This window comes from Homo sapiens, chromosome 4 (assembly GCF_000001405.40).
Source record: "Homo sapiens chromosome 4, GRCh38.p14 Primary Assembly".
Lineage (NCBI taxonomy): Eukaryota > Metazoa > Chordata > Mammalia > Primates > Hominidae > Homo > Homo sapiens.
In genome coordinates this window covers 178,172,804-178,197,884 of record NC_000004.12, presented here as the reverse complement: position 1 = coordinate 178,197,884, position 25,081 = coordinate 178,172,804, and positions in this window count along the sequence as shown.

Here is a 25,081-nt window from a genome sequence, read left to right as displayed (position 1 = left end):
TAGAGTCCCATATTGGGCAGGAACAGTCCCACCATCATACCACTGTCATAACGTTATTGGCTCTGAAAAGACCAGGGAGAGTGTGACCTTGAAGTGAATGTTGTGGCAGATAGAAGCATGAGACAGCTGGAAGCCAATTCCCCTCCTTGTAGGAGGTGTGCTTGGAGAGAAATATGAGGGCTACACCTCCCATCGCACCGCAATCGATCCCTTGCAACACACAGATCCTCTTTCTCAAACATTTTTGGAAAGCAGCACACATCTATATTTGTCATAGGCCTTTTTTTCATGATGGAAAAGTATTAGAGAGAGCTTCTGGAAAGAACTAAGCCCACATTACTGCAACTTGTCTTAAAGCTGTTATCTCACTTTTTAAGTGTGCCTTGTAAATACTGTCACCCTCAGTGATAGCCTCTTGATCTTACTGAAGAGTTCATATGGTGTCCTTGGTGGTCTAGCTCAAACTCCTATTCATGAGGAAAAGGAACCCTTGGTAATCAATTGTACCATTCTCAGACCTGGACTACAGCATGTGTCCATTCACTGCAACACTTGAACAAGTGAGTATCAAGTGGAGCCAATGTGGATCTCATGAAATTACAGTATTTCCCCTGGCCTCCATTGTGTAAAAGCTGCACTACTTCCTCCTGTTGATCAGGGTAAGTTGTCCTTGCCAGTTATCGTGGAGCCACTCTTGACTGTGAAGGATGAAGGGAAGATGAGTCAGAAGCAGGCTGTGAGAATCCAGCATCAGACTATCATGAAGCATTGACTTCTCTGAAGTGAGAGACTGATGAAGGAAGGATTAGGTAGTAGGAGTCTCAGGCAGGCCAGGTACACGGAGACAGAGTTTAAAAAATGCCTGTGCTGTGAAGGAATGTCTTGGGCAAGTATGGCCCAGCTCCAGCATCCCCGTTGTGTTCAGTCATTGTCTGTGAGAAGCACAGGGAAAAAGAGTCCTTGGCATAATACGGTGGGGGCGGCAGGTCCAACAGTACAGAGGCTGGAGTCTGTCCAGTACCTAATCTCCTTGCAGAAGATTCGCTTGAACAAGATCTAAGCAACACACTTCCATTGCCACCTCAGGATCATATCTATCAAGTGTTTAATTTTATTTTTTATAGATGTAGGCATTTACAATTCTAATCTCCCTCTAAATACTTCTTGCACTGAATCTTACCTGTTTTAAAAGTTAATACTTTTATTATTCTTCACGTGTATTTTCTAATATCTATTATATCTGTTACGTAGTTTTTTGTTTGTTTGTTTGTTTTCTTTTTGAGATGGAGTTTTGCTCTTGTTGCCCAGGCTGGAGTACAATGGCGTGATCTCAACTCACTGCAACCTCCACCTCCCGAGTTCAAGCGATTCTCCTGCCTCAGTCTCCCAAGTAGCTGGGACCACAGGCATGCACCACCACGCCTGGCTGATTTTTGTATTTTTAGTAGAGATGGGGTTTCACCATGTTGGTCAGGCTGGTCTTGAATTTCTGACCTCAGCTGATCCACCCACCTCGGCCTTCCAAAGGTGAGCCACTGCACCAGCCGACAGCCTTCTTAATAATTACACAGAAGCATTTTTTCTATTTAGATATATTTTATCTTTAATTCCTTTTAAAATCAGTTATATTTTGTTTAGAGAACATAGTCAATATGACATAATCCTGATTCTTTAATATTTGTATTGGGCTTGTTTGAATGTTAAATATATGCATGAAATGTGTATTTTTGAATTTTCAGGTTTGCCATTCCTTATGTGGGATATTTTATGCATGTTAATTTCATTATTCAAATATGTATGTATCTATAATTTTTTTTCTTCTGTTTGATCTCTCAATTATTGAGGGACTTGCATTTAATTCTTCTCTCGGAAGACGGATTTATTAAGTCTCCTGTTAATTCTGTTACTTCTAGTTTTACTTAATTTGAAGTTATCTTGTTATATATGTAAAATGCCCAACATATTATATCTGCAGGGTGAATTACACAGTTTAATATTATGTGGGATCACATTAATTCCTAGTGATACTTTTTGTTTAAATATATTTTTTCAAATGAGCTTTACAGTTTTTTTAGTTAGGAGATATTGGTGGTAAATTTGCTCCTGTTAAATTTTTAATATAAAAATTATTTTCTCTCAGCACTTTGAAGATGTACTATATACTCTGTCTTCCACTTATGCAGTTTGAAAATTATTTGTCGTAGTTTTTTGTACTTCTTATTACTTTTACAATCTTCTTTTTGGCTTCACTGTGGTACAGTTTCATGATAAATATTGCTAGTTGTAGATTAATTTTTATCCTGTTTGGGACCTGTGAAGCTTTCTGAATCTTAAGTTTAAAGTCTTACTGATTCTGAGAAATACTGATGTACTTTATCTTCAAATTTCACCTTCTTCCAATGTCTCTACTGCCAGCGTCTAGGACTAATTTAAAGTCACACTCTTACTGTACTCTTCTGCAATCTCATTTAAATTTCACATTTTAAATATGCTTGTTTCTCCTATATGCATTTAGGCTTATACCTTCAATTTTGTTTTTAAGTTTACTAATTCTCTCTTTAATGGCACCTCAACTACTATTTAAACCACTCATTGTATTTCTAACCTTAACACGGGAACACATACACACATAAATATATAGATCACTTCAACAAATTACATTTGTTTGTATTTTGAAATAGCTTGCCATTGTTGTTAACCTCTTTTTTTTTCTTAGTCATGGTTTGATATCTTTTATATTGTAAACCAATTAAGACACATATTTTGTATTATGTATTTTGTTGTCCAAATATCTTAAATCTTTGCAAATCTAGTGGTGGAATTTATTATTTATGTTGACAATAAGTGATGAGGACCAATGTCTTTCTCATTGATTTACTGATCTACTTTATTTTTCTCAACAGAGGTTCAATTTAGCTTCATCTTTGGAAACTGAGTCCTGGGCTGAGGGTGCTTTCCTTCCAAGATGAGATTTATTTGTTTCCATATTAACTCCTGAAAGTACTGCCAATACAAGAAACTTGCAAAATCAATAATTTGCTTATTTGTGGACCAAACGGTATTTTATATTCAGATTCAAAAATCACCTGATGATAATTTAAAATTCTCAGGCATTTGTTTTTTAAACACTTTACATATAGCTAGGCCTGAGACAGATAATATCCATTACCATTTCCATTTGTAGAGTTGTTATTTTTATTTTCTTGAGCATATTTTTTATTTTCCTCTAGCTGAGCAACAATATAGACTAGAGATGAAATGTGGACCTAGACGAAATGTGGACCTAGCAATCTAGGTTAACCTGGATGGCTGAGGTTGAAACATAATTCCACCATGTACTAAATATGTGATTTTGAGCAGCTTACCTAACTTTCTCTACTTCAATTTCTACATTCCAAAAATCTGAGTTATTATGGTTATTTGGGAGATTAACTGATTTTAAGTCAATTTTCTTAGAATGGTGCCTCGCATACTATATATGGTCAAACTTGTTAGTCATTCCCATATAATAATGATCTATTATTTTTGAGACTAGGCCTTAAAACTTTTTGATTCCTCAGAACCAAAAGTATTTTTTCCCACTAGTCCCTGTTCAGACATAAACTTCAAACTCTCCTTCAGTAGGCCTTAGCAGAGTCAATAGTTTCATCATTGAAATACCTCTCTGGATTTTCTCTAGTCTCTCAATTTTATCTCTTATGATTTCCTTTATTTTCCTTACAGCTAAACCATGGAGCTTAAACATATTTTTCCACATCTTTCGACGACCCTAAAGTGTGAAGTGTTTTTCTAACACAACAGTTTTTCTTTTTGAAGGGCATATATATCTAATCTACTGTAGTATAAAAAATGGTCTCTCACCCTTTACTAGAATTTTATGCTGTGTCAACACTGGATTTCTTTCCTATTGTAAAAGTGACACACTTGGAACAACTGTAGTTCTAAAAAGTAATCCCATGTTTATACAACTGGTTGCAGCTAGATTGTCACTTTATTTGTAAACAGTAATGTTTCCCAGGAGAAGTGTCCAGTTTTACATTTAATGATGTGATAAATTGAATAATGTCTACTTCACCCACTAGAATGTGAGATTTTTCAGGACAGAGACTGACTTTCAATGTACCTCCAGTATCCAGCCCAGTGCTTCTTATTTTTTATAAGTTTCTTCCCAACAATGGAGGCTGAGTGGCAAGGAAACTGCCTTAACCAGATACATGATATTGGCTAAGATTTTATAACAAAGTCAAGTAGCTGGCAAAACTTTGGGGAGCGTGTATGTTCAAATCAGATATAAGAAACTGTTATTCATTATTACTCTGGATATTCATCGTTGTCCTTGACATCCTCACCAATGCAAATCAATACAAGTTTCTGTCATTGTCTAAAAGATTTCCTTATCATTTCAAAAACAAATATTTACCAGCTTTTTGAGGTGGATAACTTTAGATGATACTAATTATGGTGTTTCATGTGAGTATCATTTTCTAACCCTTGGGCAGTTTTAGCTTTTTATTAATGCAACTTTTAGAATTTGAGTTATTCCTTCTCCACATGCTTACTATTCTTACTCTTGATGACATCACAATCCAGTAGATGATCTCTATCAGTCTATGAATTTTCAATAACTTAAGCTTTTCATATCCAATCATATTTCTTTCTTTCCACCGTACTCCAACCATCAACTTGTATAATCCTGCCCTTGTTATCATCAAACTCTGTAACACATCTGGAATCCTGTCATATAAGCTTGCCACTATGTGACCAGCAGTTTCTCTCATCCTTGCTTATTCCAACAACTTTTTTAACCACATTAAAATCTTCAGTTTTTTTTACTTTAATTTGTATGCTTCACCACCTCCACTCACTTTTCTCACATTTTTACTTCACTCCTTATGTTGTCTAAATTATATGGACCAATATTTTAATAATTTATTTGCAAACACTACTAAGCCTCTTGTCCCATCTCTTCCTCCATAATTCCCACCAACCAAAACTGCAAACCTGCTTATAATATCTGCCTATTCTGCAAATTTATACAAGCAGCAATATGTTCCAAGACTTTAAAAAATCACATAAAAATGCTGACTAGTCTCATTTGAAATTAATGAACAGAAATTTCAAAAGGCCTCTTAACCCTATGCAGAATTTCTTTTATATTTCCTCAGTAACTTTTATTCATCACTCCCCCTTGTAATTCTTATCCATCCACAAACCTGCCTCTATACTCCAAATGGCTGCCTTCATTACCTGTTTTAATTAGTAGATTGAAGCAAACGGAGGAGTATTCCCTCTTCTCACTACCACCAAATCTAACAACTCACTCGCAGCTGGGCTATTAAGCCAAGACTTCTGTTTATGCTTTGCATTCTATCTTCTCTTAATCTATTTAAATATTTTCTCCTGCAATCATATCTCCTTAAACTGTATCATTAATTTCTCCTTGTTTACCAAATCATTCCTTTTGGAAGAGGAACATCTTTTCCCTTATCTTCATGTTTCTAAACGAAGAGAGCTCCCCTAGAGTAATGTCTTTGGTCCTCAGGAAGAAGGAAACAGTTTCTTTATTGGTGAGATTTGTCTATCCACTTTTCTTTCTTACCTTTCAATCCACTTTTCTCTGCTGAACAGAGCTATCTATCCTTAAAATTTACAAACCTAGGTAATTTGCTACTTTGGTTTTCTCTCTTTTTCAGACCAGATTCAGGTCACAATCCTGATTATTCAGATCTATATCCAAGACCCAATCTGTTTTTCAGATGTTCTGTCCCAAAATCTAGACTGGTGCAGACAGAAAATATTATTTGACTTCTCGCCTTTTCCCTGTAGATTTAGAGAAAATTATCCAATCAACTTATTACTTATACAGCTAACACTTTAATGTTTACTTTTCTGACACGTGTGTTTTATTTATTAATTGATTCTGATATTGAGGAGAAAATAAAGTTCCATAAATATATAAGAATTTCATCAGCATAAAATCAAATTTAATCTAAAAAAATAGAAAACTTGTCAACATTCCTTTTCAGCTACTGCTGTAATATCCTACTCCTCTTCTCACTGAAATTTCTTTTTTTAAAAAAATCATTTTGGCCAGATTCCTCTCTGTTATCTTATATTTTTCTTTCCTCAGGCCTGTACCTCCAGTTAGGATGCCATGACCTTCACTCTCTGGGTGGCGTTTTCTTACATCACCAGCAAGCACACTGATATTTAAGGAGAATATCCCTGTCTTAATCTGCTTGAATCCTTAGCTCCTTCCTTATTGAGATTATTGTTTTAAGTTCTGTTACACTCACTTGTTAAAGTTTTTATTTATTCATGCAATTAACTAGAGTACTTAATAATTACAGGTTTTGTTCTAGATGCTGGGGCCATGTCAGGGAACAAAACACACACACACTAACAAATAAATAAAAATATATATCAGGTGCTATAAAGAAGGACAGGGAGGTATCTGTCATAAAACCTGGAGAATGAGCAATTTTCTAAAGGATGATCATGGAAATCTGAATCTAAAAGCAGATATTTGAGGAAAGGCCTGAAGGAAGAAAGACAATGATGGGAGTAGGAAACTAAACTATATGGAAAACTGTGTAAAAAGTGTTCTAGACACTAGGAATAAGTTTGCTGTAAAGGGGATCAGAGAACTGAGGAACTACTTGGAGGGAAAGGGAACCAAGTCATTCCTACATGTGAGAAATAATGACATGGTTGATCCTGGTACTACTGATCAAGTGGAGAGAACAAATTTGTTATTAAATGAGATAGAGAGAGAAAATGTCTTAAAATTGAGACAGAAAATGGGATGTAGTGCATAAGTAAAGAGATTTTTCTTAGATGGATACACAGAAAGGTTTGCAAAGAAAGTCAGAACACATGAGAAGAGATACCATAGGGGATTCTTTCCTAATTGCTTACATTTTCTCTGTGAAATAAGATGCATGGTCTTGATCTGGGAGGAAGGACAGAGTAGGAGTTTGGGAAGATTTAAGAAAGAGTTAAAACTATGAATTAGCCGGGCGTGTTGGCTCACGCCTGTAATCCCAGCACTCTGGGAGGCCGAGGCGGGCAGATCACGAGGTCAGGAGATCGAGACCATCCTGGCTAACACGGTGAAACCCTGTCTCTACTAAAAATACAAAAAAATTCTCAGGGCGTGGTGGCGGGCGCCTGTAGTCCCAGCTACTCGGGAGGCTGAGGCAGGAGAATGGCGTGAACCCGGGAGGCGGAGCTTGCAGTGAGCCGAGATCGCGCCACTGCACTCCAGCCTGGGCGACAGAGCGAGACTCCGTCTCAAAAAAAAAACAAAAAAACAAAAAAACAAAAAAAAACTATGAATTAGCTGGGTACGAGAACGGAGGAGTGGATGGACTAAGTAATTCGTATGCTTTTAGGGCAGAATGCTTGTGTTTGTGAAAGCAAGGAGCAACCAAGCAGGGTAACTGTTTTCCTCTAGCTACCATTAGCTTTGTGGGCAAGGGTTGTTAGGTAATTGATTTTAATTAAGATTTTGTTGCTCCATGCAAACACAATAGATCAAGCGAGGGCTAGAGGAGATGAGGGCATATTCTAATAATCAATTTTTCGTGAGTTCAGTATGTATTCTTCTCATGCTTTTCCACTCCTCTTCCTCATCTCTACCCAGCCTTGTCTGGGGATTGCCCTGCGTCCCCTTCTTTTCCCTGCAGTTTTAACTGTCATGATAGGCAACCTCATCCAGCTGCAGGCTTTAAACACCACGGCTTATGACAACCAGATATTCATTCTGAGTCCTTATGTCTTCCCTGGCTCCAAATTTATATATTTGGCCCACCATGATCTGTGCTCCCCGATAGACAAAGAGCAAGAGAAAAACCTTATGTGTTTAAAGACAGCACTTCACCACCACCTTCTGAACAACCAGAAGCAGAAGCAAAGAGTGACTGTCAATACTCTGAGTGCTTCTAGCAAGCTCGCCTATGTGCCAATGGTTATAGACTCATTCTACCTCTTAGCTTTAGGAATCCACAATTAACCCAGTTAATTAAGACTATCCCAGTTCATCTCAGACATCACAAGAAGCCGAGGACATCTTAAGCATCCTTCAGTCCCAGGCTTTAAATACAACTCTAAAGTTGCCTTTTATAAGACCCTTCTCCCAAGTATTCCAACTCCTAAAATATTTTCTCTTTGCCATTTTTAACTCTCAGTTAGCGTTCTGAAAAATCTCTATATCCTCAAATTCTCCTCTTCACCATTCGCTCTACAATGTGGCTACCCTCTGATGACATAAGTTCTCTTTCAACTCTCTCTAATGGTGTGATTTTCTTTCCCATTCCTGATAGCATGGATCTGGAGATAAATGAGTTTTCTCCTGACTTTGCACTCTGCTTCCAGAACTTTCTTCCTCCCTATCGCATTACCATCACCCATGTCCTACCTCATTTTATCAAATTTCACCAACCCACATGCCACCCTACTAAAGACATCCAACTTGTTCCCATTCATTTCTTTAAAAGTTTAGCTCCAATTTCATTGTCATTTGATCCAAAACTGCTCATGAAATATTTTGCTTATTTCATTATCCACATAGTCCTTCTAATTTGCTGAACTCTCAGCTCCTTGACAACTTCAGTTCTGGAGAAGTTGTCCTCCATTATACTTCAGCCACATGCTCTTATCATCTTTCGTCATTCATTTCATTATCGCCAGTACCTGAAACCAGTATTGGTTTCATTGGGTTCAGGATTCCTACTTTATATATATAGATACATATATATACACATACACACACATACATATATATACACACATACAAATATACAAACACACATATATGCATATATATGTATATATAAAATATATATAAAATCTATGTATTCTGTATATATACATACATATATGTATGTATATAGATATATAGATATATACACATATGTATATATTTATTGCATAAAGTTTATAATATACATATGTACGTATGTATGTATGTATATATATACATGTATATATGCATATGTAGGTATATACGGGCATATACATGTATATATATACAGTCTTGCTCCGTCACCCAGACTGGAGCACAATGGCTTGATCTCGGCTCACTGCAACCTCTGCTTCCAGGTTTAAGCAATTCTCATGCCTCAGCCTCCTGAATAGCTGGGACAACTGGCACACACCACCATGCCTGGCTAACTTTTGGCATTTTTAGTAGAAACAAGGTCTTACCATGTTGGCCAGGCTGGTCTCAAACTCCTGGCCTCAAGTCATTTGCCCTCCTCAGCCTCCCAAAGTGCTAGGTAAGATAACTTTAAAGTTTATAATCATTTCAGATTACAAAAGAATTTCAGTGGTGGTAGAGTTTTTATGTACTCCAGTTGCAATATTATTAATGTCTTACATTAGTTTGGAATATTTGTTATAATTAATGAGCCAATATTGATGCACTATTATTGCATAAAGTTTATAATTTATTTATGTTTCTTTAGTTTTAATTTAATGTCTCTTTTGCTTTGTTTCGTTTTGTTTTCTCCCAAGATCCCATCCAGGATATCACATTATATTTAGGAGTCATGTCTTCTTAAGTATCCAGCTGTTGATTATCACTTTCTATCATCCTATCTCATTATCTCATATTTCCAGAAACAAGTAAGCAAACAACAACAACAATTTTAAACTTAACTAGACCTAAACTCCATTGGTCATAACAGCTTTTGTCTGTATCAACTACCTTCTTATATGTATTCTTAGCAGGATTAAATTTCATAGCACATAACTACAATTACATCCTCACCTCACCTTCACATCTCTTGCCCCTTTTACCTTTTGTTGAGAAACCACCATCCCAATCAGATTTTTTCCCCTCACCACGTCACTGAAACTGAGTTGGCCAAAATCTATCAATATAGAAGTCACTGACAAATGTTGCTAAATCTAATGGTGAGTTTTCTTTATTACACATCTTATTTGACATTGCAAGAGCATTTCATTCAGTCGATTATCACCTTATCAATCGGTGTCTTTCATATTTTAACGTCTTTCTTTTCCTCCTATACCACTATGTTCAATATCAAACTACTTTGCATTTTTAAAAAATCACTTTCACTTTTGACTTTGAAATGCTCTGGGATCTAGTCTTTAAAGGGCGGCACCAATTCTTTACCTTCTAATTATTTTACACAATCTTCTGGTTTCAAATACCACCTAAAGACAACTCCTAAACATATATATTTTCATCTCAGGTATCTCCCCTAGATCCCAAACTGATATTCCAAATAGCATGCTTAATATTTTGCATGGATATTTCACAAGTAACTCAAACTGACTGTGGGTAAAAACGAGTTTCTGAACACTAACCACATCCCCAATACACACATACATACATGCATACATACATGCATACGTACATACAAATGAAAACTCTTCCTGCTGTTGTTCATCCTTACTTTGATTATTGGTCATTCTATGCTTTAAATTAGTCCAGAAATTTTGCTACTACCCTTGCCTGTTTTTATTTTTTATTCACATTACAAAAAACTCGACCAACAATTTATGAAAGCTTAACCTTCAAAATATACCCCAACATCTAAGCACTTATCATCAATACACCAATGGGGCACATCTCTTGCCTGGATTATAATTAGTCACCTTGATTCTTCACTTGTCCCTTCAGCAAGATGAAGAAATCTTAAATGATAAGTCATATTATGTTACTAGTATTCAAAATCTTTCAAATGCTTTTCCACTCTATCCACATTGTTATATTTTCTGTTTAGGTGAAAGCTAAAATTCTAGCAAGAACCTATATAAAACTTTAAATTGTGATTTTCCATCCTCCCTTTCTTCATCTCCCTTCTATTAATTCTCTTGTTTAATCTAATCTAGCCATATTAAATTCTGAGCTATTTCTTGCAAATGCAGGCATAATATTATGTCAGATTCTGGGTATTTGATATTTCATATGCCTGGAACCTCTTCCTACAGGTATTTTCATGATAGACTCCCATTAGTCTAATATGGCTTAAAATGGCTATCTTAGGTTTGGCTGCATTACAATTCATCTCTATATCTTCATGAACTCCTCAGTGATCTTTGTCACATCCAGAATTGGATTCTCTTAATACAGAGACACATGAAATAAAATACAAGTTCTATCTCCCCTCTCCACACCTAATTTAGAATAGTGAAACAGGGACAGGAGGAGCACATTAAACACTCCCATTCAAAAATGAAAAGAAAGGGAGGAATTTAGAAGTCACTAGTTCATGGTAATTCTCAAATCCCACTGGATCAATTTTGTGAGGTCACCTTACACTGTTCCCAGATTTTATGAGGCCTTTCTTCCCTTGATTAAATCCGTGTTCTGCTCCCTTAACTTCTTTCCCCAGCCTATTAATTTCTTTGACTTGCTCTCTATCTTCTGGTGTCCTTTCTTTTTTTCCATTGTCCCCTTTTGCCACATCTGGAGAGAGTGGTGGGAAATGTGTCCTCCTGTGGAACTAAGAAGTTCTCTGAAGCTGCTTCATAGACATGCAAGTCTTTTAATATCTTGAATAGCCTCAATGTCTTTTAGTGCAGATTGGTAGTAAGTAGGCCAATGCAACTTAATAAAAACTTTGAAGCACTCTATGCATTTCATTATATTTCATTTTAAATGTCAAAAGTTATACCGAGAATTTATTCTTTCTTCTTCTCTGTCTCTCAAGTTCTTGTTCTCTCTCTCTCTCTCTCTATAAGTAAAAATTTGACAACACAAAAGGCTTCATGAGACAGTCTGTAGTCTTTTAGGATTCCTTATGTCCAAGTGAAAGGGTATCTATTAATCTTAATGACCACAACCTTGATGTGGTTTCTATCCTAAGGCTAGGATGGAAGTCTGAAATTGACACTAAATTTGAACTTTCCCTTGAGTTCAAGATTTAATATGTTCATTTTTACTTGGCAGGAACTAGTTCATTACCACTCAGAAAGTCTGAGAATTTCTGTGATCTCTCTATTCAGTCATGCTATTCTTAGCATAGAAGTCAGTTCTTTCCTATCACGTTTTCTACTACTTTAATAAGCACAACTATCAAGCAGACAACCAGCACTATCTATCAGTATTTTGCTTCAAAACTTCCTTGTTCATTTCCACAAGTGCTTGTTATCACCCCTAAGTTACCACAGGTGCAAACCATGCCAAACTCTCACCGCGTTGTTATGTGTTGCTATTTTTATATCCTCTTATCAGAGTTTTCTCACTTCCCACTGCCCAGACCCAAGCCAATGGCACATATTTGAGTTTGTATTAGAATAGCAACATCCCAACTCCAGTAACAAAGTTCCCATTAATCATTTTTTTTTACATAAAAATCAACTAAAATTGTCAGAGACTTATAAAGGAGACATTCCTATGCTCACAAACATGCTGGTCTAGGGGTCCCTCTGGAATCTGAATGACTTAGATTAAATTCAACTGTGTTTAGATCCAGGCTGCAAGTTGGGTTAGGTGATATGGTTTGGATGTGTCCCTACCCAAATCTTGAATTGTAGGTCCCGTAACCCCCACATGTCATGAGAAAGACCCCGTGGGAGGTAACTGAATCATGGGGATGGTTTCTCCCATGCTATTATTGTGATAGTGAGTTCTCACGAGATCTGATGGTTTTATAAGGGGCTTTTCCCTCTTTGCTCCACAGGTCTCTTTCCTGCCACCATGTGAAGAAGAATGTGTTTGCTTCCCCTTCCACTATGATTGTAAATTTCCTGAGGCCTCCCCAGCCATGCAGAAGTGTTAGTCAATTAAATCTCTTTCTTTATAGTTACCCATTTCTTCATAGCAGCGAGAGAATGGACTAATACATAGGTCAATTCCACTTCTGTTATTCTGTGACAAGCAGGTTCTCAAGACATGTTCCTTTTGTGGTAGGTATCAAGAAGATAAACTGAGCCATGTATCCATATTTATACTTTATTTCAAGTTGCACACACTAGACAGGGCAAACCACAAAGCATTAGATGGAGAAAATAACATAGCAGCGCCTACATCAGTGTGACCAGAACGTATTCTCTCTCTTCAGTAGGAGACACTGCAATTACAAGGCAAAATCTGTGACCGTATTATCTTACCTTATACATTGCAGGGGAATAATGAATTAAGAACAAAACTCCACTCTATCAAAACACCACTTCAGTGAAACCCTCCTGACCTCCATGTTTAAATTTAATCCTCCTACAATTCGCCCTCGCTACTGAAAAAAAATATTTATAGATCTGTTTACTTAGTTATCTAATATGCCTCTCAAACTCAATATAACTAACCCTAATTATCCATTTTTTCCTCCCATATACTCTGCCTCAGACCTACTAAAATTTGTAATTGGGATTGGCTGCTTGGTTAAAATGACAGTGAAAAAGGAAAAACCTAGACTTCGTATTTGATTTCATTTTTCTCTTTACTTTTCCTCCAAGAAGTGATTCATCATGTCCCGTCTACTTCACCTCTAAAATCTATTTTATATTGTTTCCCTCTTCTTCATCTTCCCATCAATTTGATGAAAGTTACCATGATTTCATGTCTAGACTCCATAATAGCATATTTCAGGAATTTAGCTTTCCCTTACATTGTTTTCTGAAAGAAAACAATCTTGCTTTTCAGAGGTTAGACCTTAGTCTGACTGTTATACCTTTGAAGGTAATATGTCTTTTTCTGGTTACCATTAAGCTTATTTATTCTTTTTTTGTTTTCCACAGTTTTACTGTTTTTTTTCTATTTACTCTACTTGGAATTCACAGAGATTCTTTCTCTCACATAATTCTTTCATATAATGCACACAATTTCACATAATTCTTTAATCTTTGGATTTGTTTCTTTCATCAGTTTCAAAAACATTTAGCCATTTTATCCTAAAATATTGGTTCTGCCCTGATCTCTCTCTTTCCTTTCCCTCAGAGCCTCCCATTACATGCATGCTATGCTGTTTCTCTGTGCCTCATATGGCTTAAATCTTTTCCTGTATTTTTATTCTATTTAAAAACGTTTTGGTGTTTCAGTTCAGACATATTCTAACAACCTGCTTTCTAGGTTATTAATCTTACCTTTTGTGTTTTTAATGTTATTGAACTAAGTGAAAATAAGCATAGTTTCAGGTATCGTATTTTGATTTTCTTGAGTCTCCACATTATTCTCTCTTCTAGATTACCATTTTCTGGTGAATATACAGTGCACAAGACGAAGTAGTAGACATTTTTTAAGGCAGTAATTTGGAGAATTTAAATCAACCTTATCGTTTACACACTGAATATGGTGTATTGTTATATATACTATGAATGGAAATAACTTACATAAAACCATGATCCATAAAAATATATAAATTAGCATCAATACATAACACATTTACTAGGATTCAAGAACATAATTTATGTCCTTAAATTCATAGTGTACTGTATATTTATATAAATTAAAAATTGTGAGTGTAATATTGTTTTAAAAAGATAAAGTTCAAAAGCATATTGATGATATTTTGAGAACTATAGTACTTACAACAACGAAAAAAAAATTAAGTGTGAGTTACAGGGAGCATGAATTTATGAAGGAGCCCTGAAATAATGCATAAGATTAAAATACACATAGAAATAGTCATTCCAGATGTAGTGGCATGGCCACTCTTAAGAAACTGAGTGAAATTTGAAATATACAAATAAGCATAAGGAAAAAGAGTGTATGTATGTATTTAATTTATGTAATATTTAAAAAATTCAACTGCATAATATTTTAATATACTGTCTGTTTATTAATAATGCTGAAATAACCATTTAAACTACTACTCCATACTTTATAATATGGAAAACTTTACACTTTTTATTTTAGATGTGCTTTATTTTTGCAGATGCTAACAACAAAACTGTGTTCTTTAAAAAATCTCTAAGCGCTGGAAAATATCAATAGATCAGATTTTGAATTGAAATGGATAAGCTAAATACATTCAGTTTTACTCATGGGACAGTGCTTAAGTGTGTGAAGATCCAAATTTGCTTTGAAGAGTTGTAGTAAACAAGAAATAAGTAATGTGTGGGTATAATTTCTTCTCAAATCTACGCCTGCATTTTATTAGTTGTGATACAATAATATTTCAAAAATAGAATAGTGATTCTTACTTTTAAACTTATATACTTTCTACCTCTTCTATGAATTTCTACCTCACTTTATTATAATATTAAATATTACAACATGCAAAAATGCATCAGTGGAAGGCTACTTTCAACCAGTGTTTAAAAAAAAAAAGGAAAAAAAAAAAAGCCATCTGTTTGCCAGCTATCTATGTATTTACATATCTCTTTATCCATCTGTGTACCACAAAATCTGGGTCAGAAATGTTTCTTGTTGTATCAAAATTATTGTAAGTTTACAAAATGTTATTTGTTTGAATGTGGGACTCTTTATCTGTCATATTCAACCATGAAATTGTTCCAAGAATAGATTAAATTAGCATTAAATTTCACTCTTTTTTGCAGAATTACAACTAGCTGAAAAAGTAATAATATTACATTGCACCTGCAAATCATTCTTTTCATGTGAGTTTCTATTTTGTGAATAATTAGGCACACATATCGAAGTTTGAATGCCTAATTTGTGGCAAAATATGTTTGCTATGGTCAAATATTTCAACAAATATTGTAGGAAAATATTGCATAAATACAATTGCTCAATATATTCTGAAGCAAGTTACTTAAAGCTATAAATAATATTGTGAAATGCATTCAAGTCATGACTTAAAATGCAGACTTGTAAAATTCATTAAAGACATACTTAAGATAACAATGTTGTATATTTTTAAAGTCATTATTAAATAAAACATTACCAAATTAATCTTAAAGTATAATAGTAGATGTTTAGCAGACCTTAAATGTTAATGTGTTAGTCTCAGGTATATTTATTTAAAGAAAGAGTAAAAAAATTGGTGCATATACTTTCAAAACTATCTTTGTGTTTCTATATTCCATCTGGTTTCAAGCCTAACTAATTATTAGACGTGTATTAGACAATTATTTTATTTCCCAGATGAACAGTATTAGAACATAAATATAAATTATATATAATGATATTTTAACATTTTTGATTTAAAAGGTAAATTTTGGTTACAATTTTTATTTTATTTATTTATTTATTTTTTGGGGGGGTTTCGAGACAGGATCTCTCTTTCTCACCCAGGCTGGAGTACATTGGCAAAATCGTAGTTCACTGTAACCTCAAACTCCTGGGCTCAAGATGTCCTCCCTCCTTAGCCTCCGTATTAGCTAGGCCTACAGGTGAACCCACCATGCCAGCTAATTTTTTTAATTGTTATTTTTTTGTAGAGACAGAGTCTAGCTATGTTGCCCAGACTGGTCTCCAACTCCTGGCCTCAAGCAATCCTCCTTGACCTCCCAAAGTGCTGTGATTATAGTGATTAATTTTAAAAAAATTTATATAATAGGAAAAATTTGGCAGGGATAAGTTAAAATCTGAACTTCAATTTTACCATTATCAAATAAATTGGGATAATATTTACTTAGAATGTGTGTTTGAAATTGACACATAGTAGGCATTACACATCTATACAAATTACTTTTACTATTATTATTTTCTTCATATTTTCCCTGGTCATAATTAAGGTACTAGCCATTATTATACCATTAGTTATGTAACAAGAATGTTAAACTACTCTTATCACAGAATAGTAATTACGCCTATCACTGAATAATAAACACATATTTCCAAAGTCATGCAAAAGCACTGATACATCTCACTTCAAAAGAGAGCTCAAGAAAGTACCATAAACTAAGTGATTTAGGATTTCTCCGTAGTCATTTGATGAAGAACATTATGGTTACACTTGATCATTATATTCATTAGGCATTTGCAAATAAAAACTGCCACACTATATTGGAAAGAAGCCAAGTGGAGTTCATGTGTGGTGAGTAGAGATTGCATGAATAGATTGCACCAGGTCCTAGGCAGCCAGGCAAGGCAATAAAGATAAATAATATATGTGAAGATTATAAAGGAGGAAATGTAACTTCTATTTCTTAAAAATTGTATTAAGATATAATTCTCATGCCATGAAACTTACCCATTTAAACTGTACAGTCTAATGTTTATTCATATATTCACAGAATTGTGCAACCATAAGCACAATCTAATTTTGGAACATTTTCATCAACCCGAAAAGAAACCCCATATTTATTAACAGTCATTCTCATCTACACTCACCTACAGTACCTACAGTAGACAATCACTGACTTCTTTCAATGGGTAGAATTTGTCAGTTCTACCCATTGAATATAAATAGAATCCTACAGTGTGTGGTCTTTTGTGGATGTCTTCTTTCATTTAGCGTATTGTATCCATGTTTTATCCAATTGCAGCATGTGATTTATTTTTTAATATTGTGTAATATTCCATTGCATAAATATGCCAAAATTTATGCACATTTAAGTTTTTAAACCATGTTTTTGCTATTATAATGCAACTGTAAGCATGTATGTGCATTTTTGTGTGGACATGTATACCTTGGAGGGAATTTGCTGGGACACATGGTAACCCAATATTTAACATTTAAGGAACTGCTAAAGTGTTATTCAAATCAGCTTCAACATTTTACATTCCCATCAGCACTGAATAAGTGTTTCAATTTCTCCCTCGTCTCCAACACTTAGTGTTTATCTTTTCATTTTAGTCATCCTAATTTTTGTAAAGTGATGGCATTTCTTACAGTTCTGATTCGAGTTTCCCTAATGAGCAATGATGTTGATAATCTTTTAATGTGCTTGTAGGCCATTTGTAGATTTAGTTTGGAGAATTTAATATACAAATCTTTTACCAATTTTTAAACTGAGTTATAATTATGATTATTGAATTATAAAAGTTTTTTATATATTTGGAATACAAGTGCCTTATGTGATATGCAAACATTTTCTTCCATTCTTTGGATTGTTTCTTCACTTTCCTCATGGTATCCTTTGCAGCACAAACTGTTTAATTTGGATTAAGTCTAATGTATCTACCTTTTCTTTAGTTATTTTATTTTTGGCGTCATATATAAGTACCATTGTATAACCCAGAGTTATCAAGCTTTACTTCAATGTTTTCTTCTAAGGGTTGTATAGTTTTAGAGCTTACATTTATATCTTTGTGTCATTTTGAGTTAATTTTTCATATGGTTTGAAATAGGGGTCCAACTTTGTTCTAGTGAATATGGATATTGAATCATCCCAGCACAGTTATTGAGACGATTTTTTCCCTATTGAATTGTCTTGTCATATATATGTATATGTATGTGTCTATATACACACACACATATGAAATACATATTTGCCAGTGCCACATTGTCTTCATTAATAAAGCTGTTTAGTAAGCTTTGAAATCAGGAATTTTGAGATCTCCTAATTTGTTTTTCATTATCAAGATTGTTTTTGCTATTTTGAGCCCCTTGAGTTTCCGTATGAATTTTAGAATCAGCTTGTTAATTTCTGTAACCAAAAGAAAAAAAGACAACTGAAGTGCTGATAAAGATTTCTTTGAATCTGCAGATCAATTTGGGGAATGTTGCCATCTAAACAATATTAAATCTTCCAATTCATGAACATGGGATCTCTTTCTATTTATGTAGGTTCCCTTTAATTTCTTCATTGCTATTTTGTGGGTTTTGGTATACAAGTTTAAATTTGTTTTATTTTTTCTTAAATATTTTATTCCATATTATACTGTTGTACAGGAAATTATATTGTTAATTTTTTATGGATTGTAAAATGCTGGCATATAGAAATGCTATTTATTTCTGGATATTGATCTGTTATCCTTGCAACATTCTGAACTTGTCTATTAGTTGTAATGATTGTATGTGTATGTGTGTGGAGGGGTATTCCTTAGGATTTTCTCAGTACAAGATTATGCTCTCTGCAAGTAGCAATAGTTTTACTTCTGCCCTTCCAATCTAGATGCCTTTATTTATTTATTTATTTATTTATTTATTTATTTATTCTAAATTCCCTTGGCTAGAACCTTCAGTACAATGTTGAAGAGAAATGATGACAGGAGACACCCTCCTTTTGTTCCTGTCCTTAAATGGAAAACAGTCTTTCACCTTTCACTAGGTTACCTGTGAGTTTTTAATAGATCCCTTTATTAATTTGAGAAGGATAACTTTATTCCTAGTTGGTTGAATGTTATAATTGTGAAAATATATTAGATTTTGTCAAATGCTTTTTCTAATGTATTGAGATTATCATGTGCTTTGTCTTTTATTTAATAAATGTAGCATATTATGTTAATTGAGCATTAAATATTAAAGTAACCTTCCATTCCTGCAATAAATCCAAGTTGGATATAGTAATACTATAGCATTATAGTAATTGGTTGGTGATTTTTGTGTCTATATACAAAAATATTGTTCTGTAATTTCCTTGTGATGCCTTGGTCTCTTTTTAGTATCAGGGAAAAGGGTATTACTGGTTTCATAGAATAAGGTGAAGAGTGCTTTCCTTTCTTTTATTTTTCTAAAGATTTATGAAAAAATAATATTAATTTTTTTCTCAAATATTTGGTAGAATTCACCAGTGAATCCCTCTAGAACTTAGCTCTTGTTTATGGGAAGTTTCTAATATTTAATCCAATCTATTAATATTTTATCAGTTTATTTGGTTTTCTATTTATTCTTGAGTCAGTTTTTATAGTTTATGTCCTGCTAAGAATGTGTCAATTTCATTTAATTTATCTAATTTGTTGGCACATAGGTTTAATAAGATTCCCTTATCAAATAAAGATAAAGAACCCTTTATTTACTCATGGTTGTTAGTGATACACACTTTTTCATTAACTTCCATTATTGTGTAGAAAATCAAAAGGTATATACAATAAATTATTATTATATAAATAAGAGAAGTGATTAACAAGATTGCTAGATTCAAAATCAGTATAAAAATTAAGTTGCATTTTTATGTACAACAGGAAACACTTTATAAATAATAAAATATAATTTATGATACAATAATATAAAGAACCTATAAATATATTAAATGAAATATGTACAAAAACTTTCTGGAGAATATTATAGAACTTAACTGATAAATATTAAATATGTCCAAAATACAGTTAAAATATATCACTTTTACTTTTTAGGGGATTTAATGTAGAAAATGTTTTAATTTTCCAATTAATTTTATTATTAAATATAACCATAATAAGTAGCTATTGGTGGGTTTTTTGTTTTGTTTTGATTTGGTTTTACTTTTGTGACCTGAGAAAGTATTTCAAAAAAGGTAGATTCATACATGTCCAAAAATATGAACAAAGGGGTCGGGCGCGGTAGCTCACGCCTGTAATCCCAGCACTTTGGGAGGCCAAGGCAGGCGGATCACCTGAGGTCAAGAGTTCGAGACCAGCCTGGCCAACATGATGAAACCCTGTCTTTACTAAAGTTATAAAAATTAGCCAGGCGTGGTGGCGGGCGCCTGTAATCCCAGCTACTGAGGCATGAGAATCCCTTGAACCTGGGAGGCCGAGGAGCTGAGATCGTGCCACTTGCACTCTAGCTTGGAAGACAGAGAGAGACTCTGTCTCCAAAAAAAAAAAGAAAGAAATATAGTAAAAAAATGTTTATTGCCCCTTTTCAGATGTCCATAACTTATTATAAAATTGTACTCATTAAGGGATTGGAGGAAAATAGAAAATCCAGTCAATGGAAGAAAATAGCCCTGACAGATGCTTACACATGTGGATATGAGATAGAGGTATTATTACAGAAAAGAGATAGTAATTATAATTAATTTTAAATAAGTTACATAATAGTAGAATATCATTCTGAGCTTGGTGTAGAAAATCCTGTTTTAAAAGCATATAAATAATGTAAACCACAAACAGAAAGTCTGAGACAAATTCTGCATTCAAATTGAGAGACTGTTCTTCATATACATCATAATAAAAATAACATTAGACAAGCTATAAAATAGAAGAGAATATTTTTAACACACAAAATATCTATATGTATAGGTTGAAAGAAATTCTACTAAACACTAAGACAATCAATTGAACAGAAAAATAATGGATAAAGACTTGAATTTTATAGAATGGAAATACAAATGGCCCATAAACATACAATTAGCTATTTAACTTTATTAGTTACCAAAAATGTAAATAAAAATCCTTAAATAAATTAAAAAATTTTATTGTACATTATTGTGTTTTAATAATCATTCAAATGATTACCAGAAATTAAATATTCTGATGATATTAAGTATTAGATGTGGCTTGATGGGCATAGCCATTGCTAGGAAGTAGAATCAGCTATAAGCACCTTGTAAGAGTATAACATCATTGCTTAATGAAGGTGCATATGTGTGAAACCCATGATGTAGGCATATACCACATGTCTAAACTTGCACATGACAAGTAGTAAAGCAGCAATTTTATAGCAAAAACCAAAGAGAAGAAAGAAAAAAGAAAACTACCTAATGTAAAATTAGAATGGATAAATAATTGATACTATATTTGTACAAAGGAATATTATTAGTGGTAAACATTAATACATTTGCTATGAATATCAACTTTTATGCAACTGGAAAGTGTTCAGTAATGGAAATTAGTCATAAAACAGAGCAAAGAAATTACATTACTATTTCATAGACAGAGAGCTCCCTTATGGCCAATTTATTTTTAGTGTGGATTTCCTTCAGAAAAGTTACTTGTTTAGAGGTAGGTTTGTTGCAATCACTTGATATGCTTTCTCAAACTACATAATTTCACCTTCGTACTCAAAGTCCTCCACGAGCCATACCAGTATGTGGGTAAGGGCACTCTTCTATTTCCTCTCACCACTCTCTTTTTGCTGCCTTCACATGTATACATTGAGTTCACTAGTGTTGACAATGTAACTTTGCTTCTTTTGTTAAATGTATCTATGACTTCATTAGTATGTGATTGTTGAAATCAAATGTATTCAATTCTCAATAAAAATAACACCTAGATAGGTCTTTTGAGTATTACCACATTTCCTAACCATACTCCACTTAAGCAGAATTTAATGCCCTAACATATGTGCATTTCACAACGGCACAAAATATATTTCACAAAAAAGTATTTGTATTCAGTAATTCTCAAAAATTGTGATAAACTTAAAATTGACTGTTACTCAATCACATTGCAGTTCCTATGAAGGGTTACTTACTTTTCTAGGTGCTAGGGAAGTAATTGCAAACAATACTATATTCATGATGCTTACATTATTTGATAAGATTACCTTCTAATTTAACACTATGCACATGAATGGAGTATATTGTCCTAAGATATCCAGCATTGCATTAAAGTTTGTGTTTCACAAACTGCTATTGCCAAGAAGTGCTACAGATAAATCCATTGCAGAACTCACAGTGTGTCTAGTAGGTCTCTTTCTCTCTATATATAGAGATAGATATCTCCCCTGATTTTTAAAATATTTTCATACAATTTTTATACAATATGGATAATATTATTGAATATAATTATATGAAAAGTTTAAGGAAGGGTAAAAGATAGTTTAAAGAATTCTATCAACTTTCACTAAGAGTGGAGCATGTATTTAGCCTTTATATGTCTACAATCTAACACAAGTAGGAAAATGTAATCAGGTAACTTTTTTTTCACCAATACCAATGCAAAGAGTGAAAATATATTTTATATTAACATGTTAAAATATAGTGAACACTATTCTATTCTGATATAATTCCTTGAAGACAGATTTTAAGAGCATTCTCATTAGATATTTTCCTTTAATTTTGATAGAGAGAGAGAATTGCTGTAAAAACTAGCTAAACTACCATGTTCCCTGGGTTTCACTATCTCGGGAATCAGAGAAAAACATGAGATGAGTCATATTGAAGAGGACCCTCAGCCACCTTGAGAGAGTAGACAACTTTCTTCAGCTATTCTTCTTGCTTTCCTCATTCTGAGGTGATGATGGAGCAAGCTGAGCAATGACCTCATGCATTTTTATCTCTGCAGTCCAGTCCAGTCCCGCAGGTGTTGACAAATGGCTAGAGAATTCACAGTCATATAAAATGGCATTCTCAAATAAATCCAAAATATTATATATTCACTCACTTAAAGCATATTTATATTTGTACTAAGTGTATTTTCAAGGCACAATATTTTAGATACAAAAGACATTAGATATTCTTCCCAGTTAATTAAAGATAATAATACCGATAATATACAAAGCTACGTGACATATTATAAGCAATATAATTAAATATTTTGTATCTCTATACTTGTGAGGTATATTCTAAAAATAAAAAAATATTAAAATGCATTGTTGTAAAGACGTAGTTCCCAAACATGCCATAAGCAATATCTCAAGAATGACTAATTAATATGTAATTGCTATCTTAAAATATAACTAAATTTGTTAAATAAGGCCTATAATTTTAGATTGAAAGCAATTTCTTCTTAATCAACGGTAATATAAAATAAACTTACATTTAGGCAAAATAAAGATATGAATTATTCAAGTGTGTCTTCTAAAGACAGAATATCTTAACTCAGGGATACACTTTTATACCACATACTTAACTACCACAATGACATTAAAATTTAGAATTACAAGATGTATTTTAAATGTTATTGTCTTTGTGAACAATATTTAAATTACATAGGCCTTATTGAGCTTGCATAGAGAAATATTTAATACTACAAGTAATTTTTAATATCCTCCTGATACTAGTAAAAGGTAGTTCTACTAAGCATTTCTTTAGAACACTTTCTTCCATCACAAATACACACACACACACGCACACACATGCACAAAATATCTGACCGTGCAGGAAGAAATAATAAATTGATGCAATATCTTCATCTCTATGCAGATGAAGAATAGTAAGCTCTTGTCCCTGATTTAACATTCACAGAAAATCAACCAACTTAAAGAGTAACATGAAAAAATACTTGTGTCAGCATTTTTTTTGTAATCATGTATTTCAATACAGCAGTGCACAATTTAATGAGAATCCCTTCAAAATAAATCGTAGCACTAGGGTAGTTTCGGAAAGAATAGTTCATCATTGAAACATTCCAAACAGGGAAAGTCATTTCTGATAAACCATATATATTAGACCTTCGCAAAGGAGTGAAATGCGAACATGGTCAGCTTGTCTGAATGTCCCCTAACGCACTCCCAATTATCTGCATTACAAACATAATAGTCGGCTTTAAAAACAAGATTAAGACCAGAAATTTACTGCCACAGAAACATAGCACCTTTTGATCCTCTACTCAGTTCAAAGTTATTGCTGGAAACAATCTTCGTGTTTCCAAGGATATTTGCTTATGTATATGTAGATATTTTTTGCAAGAACATAATTTTATATTTATGAAGCAAGTCAATTCTCTGTAAATAAATACAAATGGAAAACAAATACTGCAAGCATCAAGTATGAGTGGATTTTGTTTTGATCACCTAAATTCTTTCTCATTTTGATTTGTCTTTTGAGGACTACTGCTTTCTTTATAAAGCGTAATGCATGCATCACTTGGTACAATTTTATTTCTTTCATGAGTCAAATAAACATTTCAATTTTTTTTTCCAGAAGGACGCAGACACACTAACTCCTTTAGTTTAATTTTGACATGTCTTAATATTACCAAGATCTAGCAGGAATTCCCAGGATTTTACTTAAAACATCTAAAATGTATTTTACGTTGTTAATCAATACATATATTAAGTTGCCTCCAATTTATAATAAAATTTGACAAAGCTCTAAATAAAACCATATAATAGATTAAGGCACTGAGACAACTCCATTTAAATATTTTGGTTAGTATTATTTTTCCCTTGTTTCATACAAAGGTAAGAAAGCCAAACAAAGTAGATCACTAGGTTTACAAAGATTTTCTTAATTATTTATCTCACCCAAAATCCTAATCTTCTGACATTGACAGAGGGTCTTATACTCACAGTTCTAATACACTTTGTTATATTGAGGATCCAGATCCTATACTGAAATGTTTATAATTTCTCTCAAATTTGCATGAAAATATTCTGCCAAAAATATTAAAATATATACGCATATATTATCATAGTGGAAGAGAGCAGGCCCTAGATAGATGATATATAAA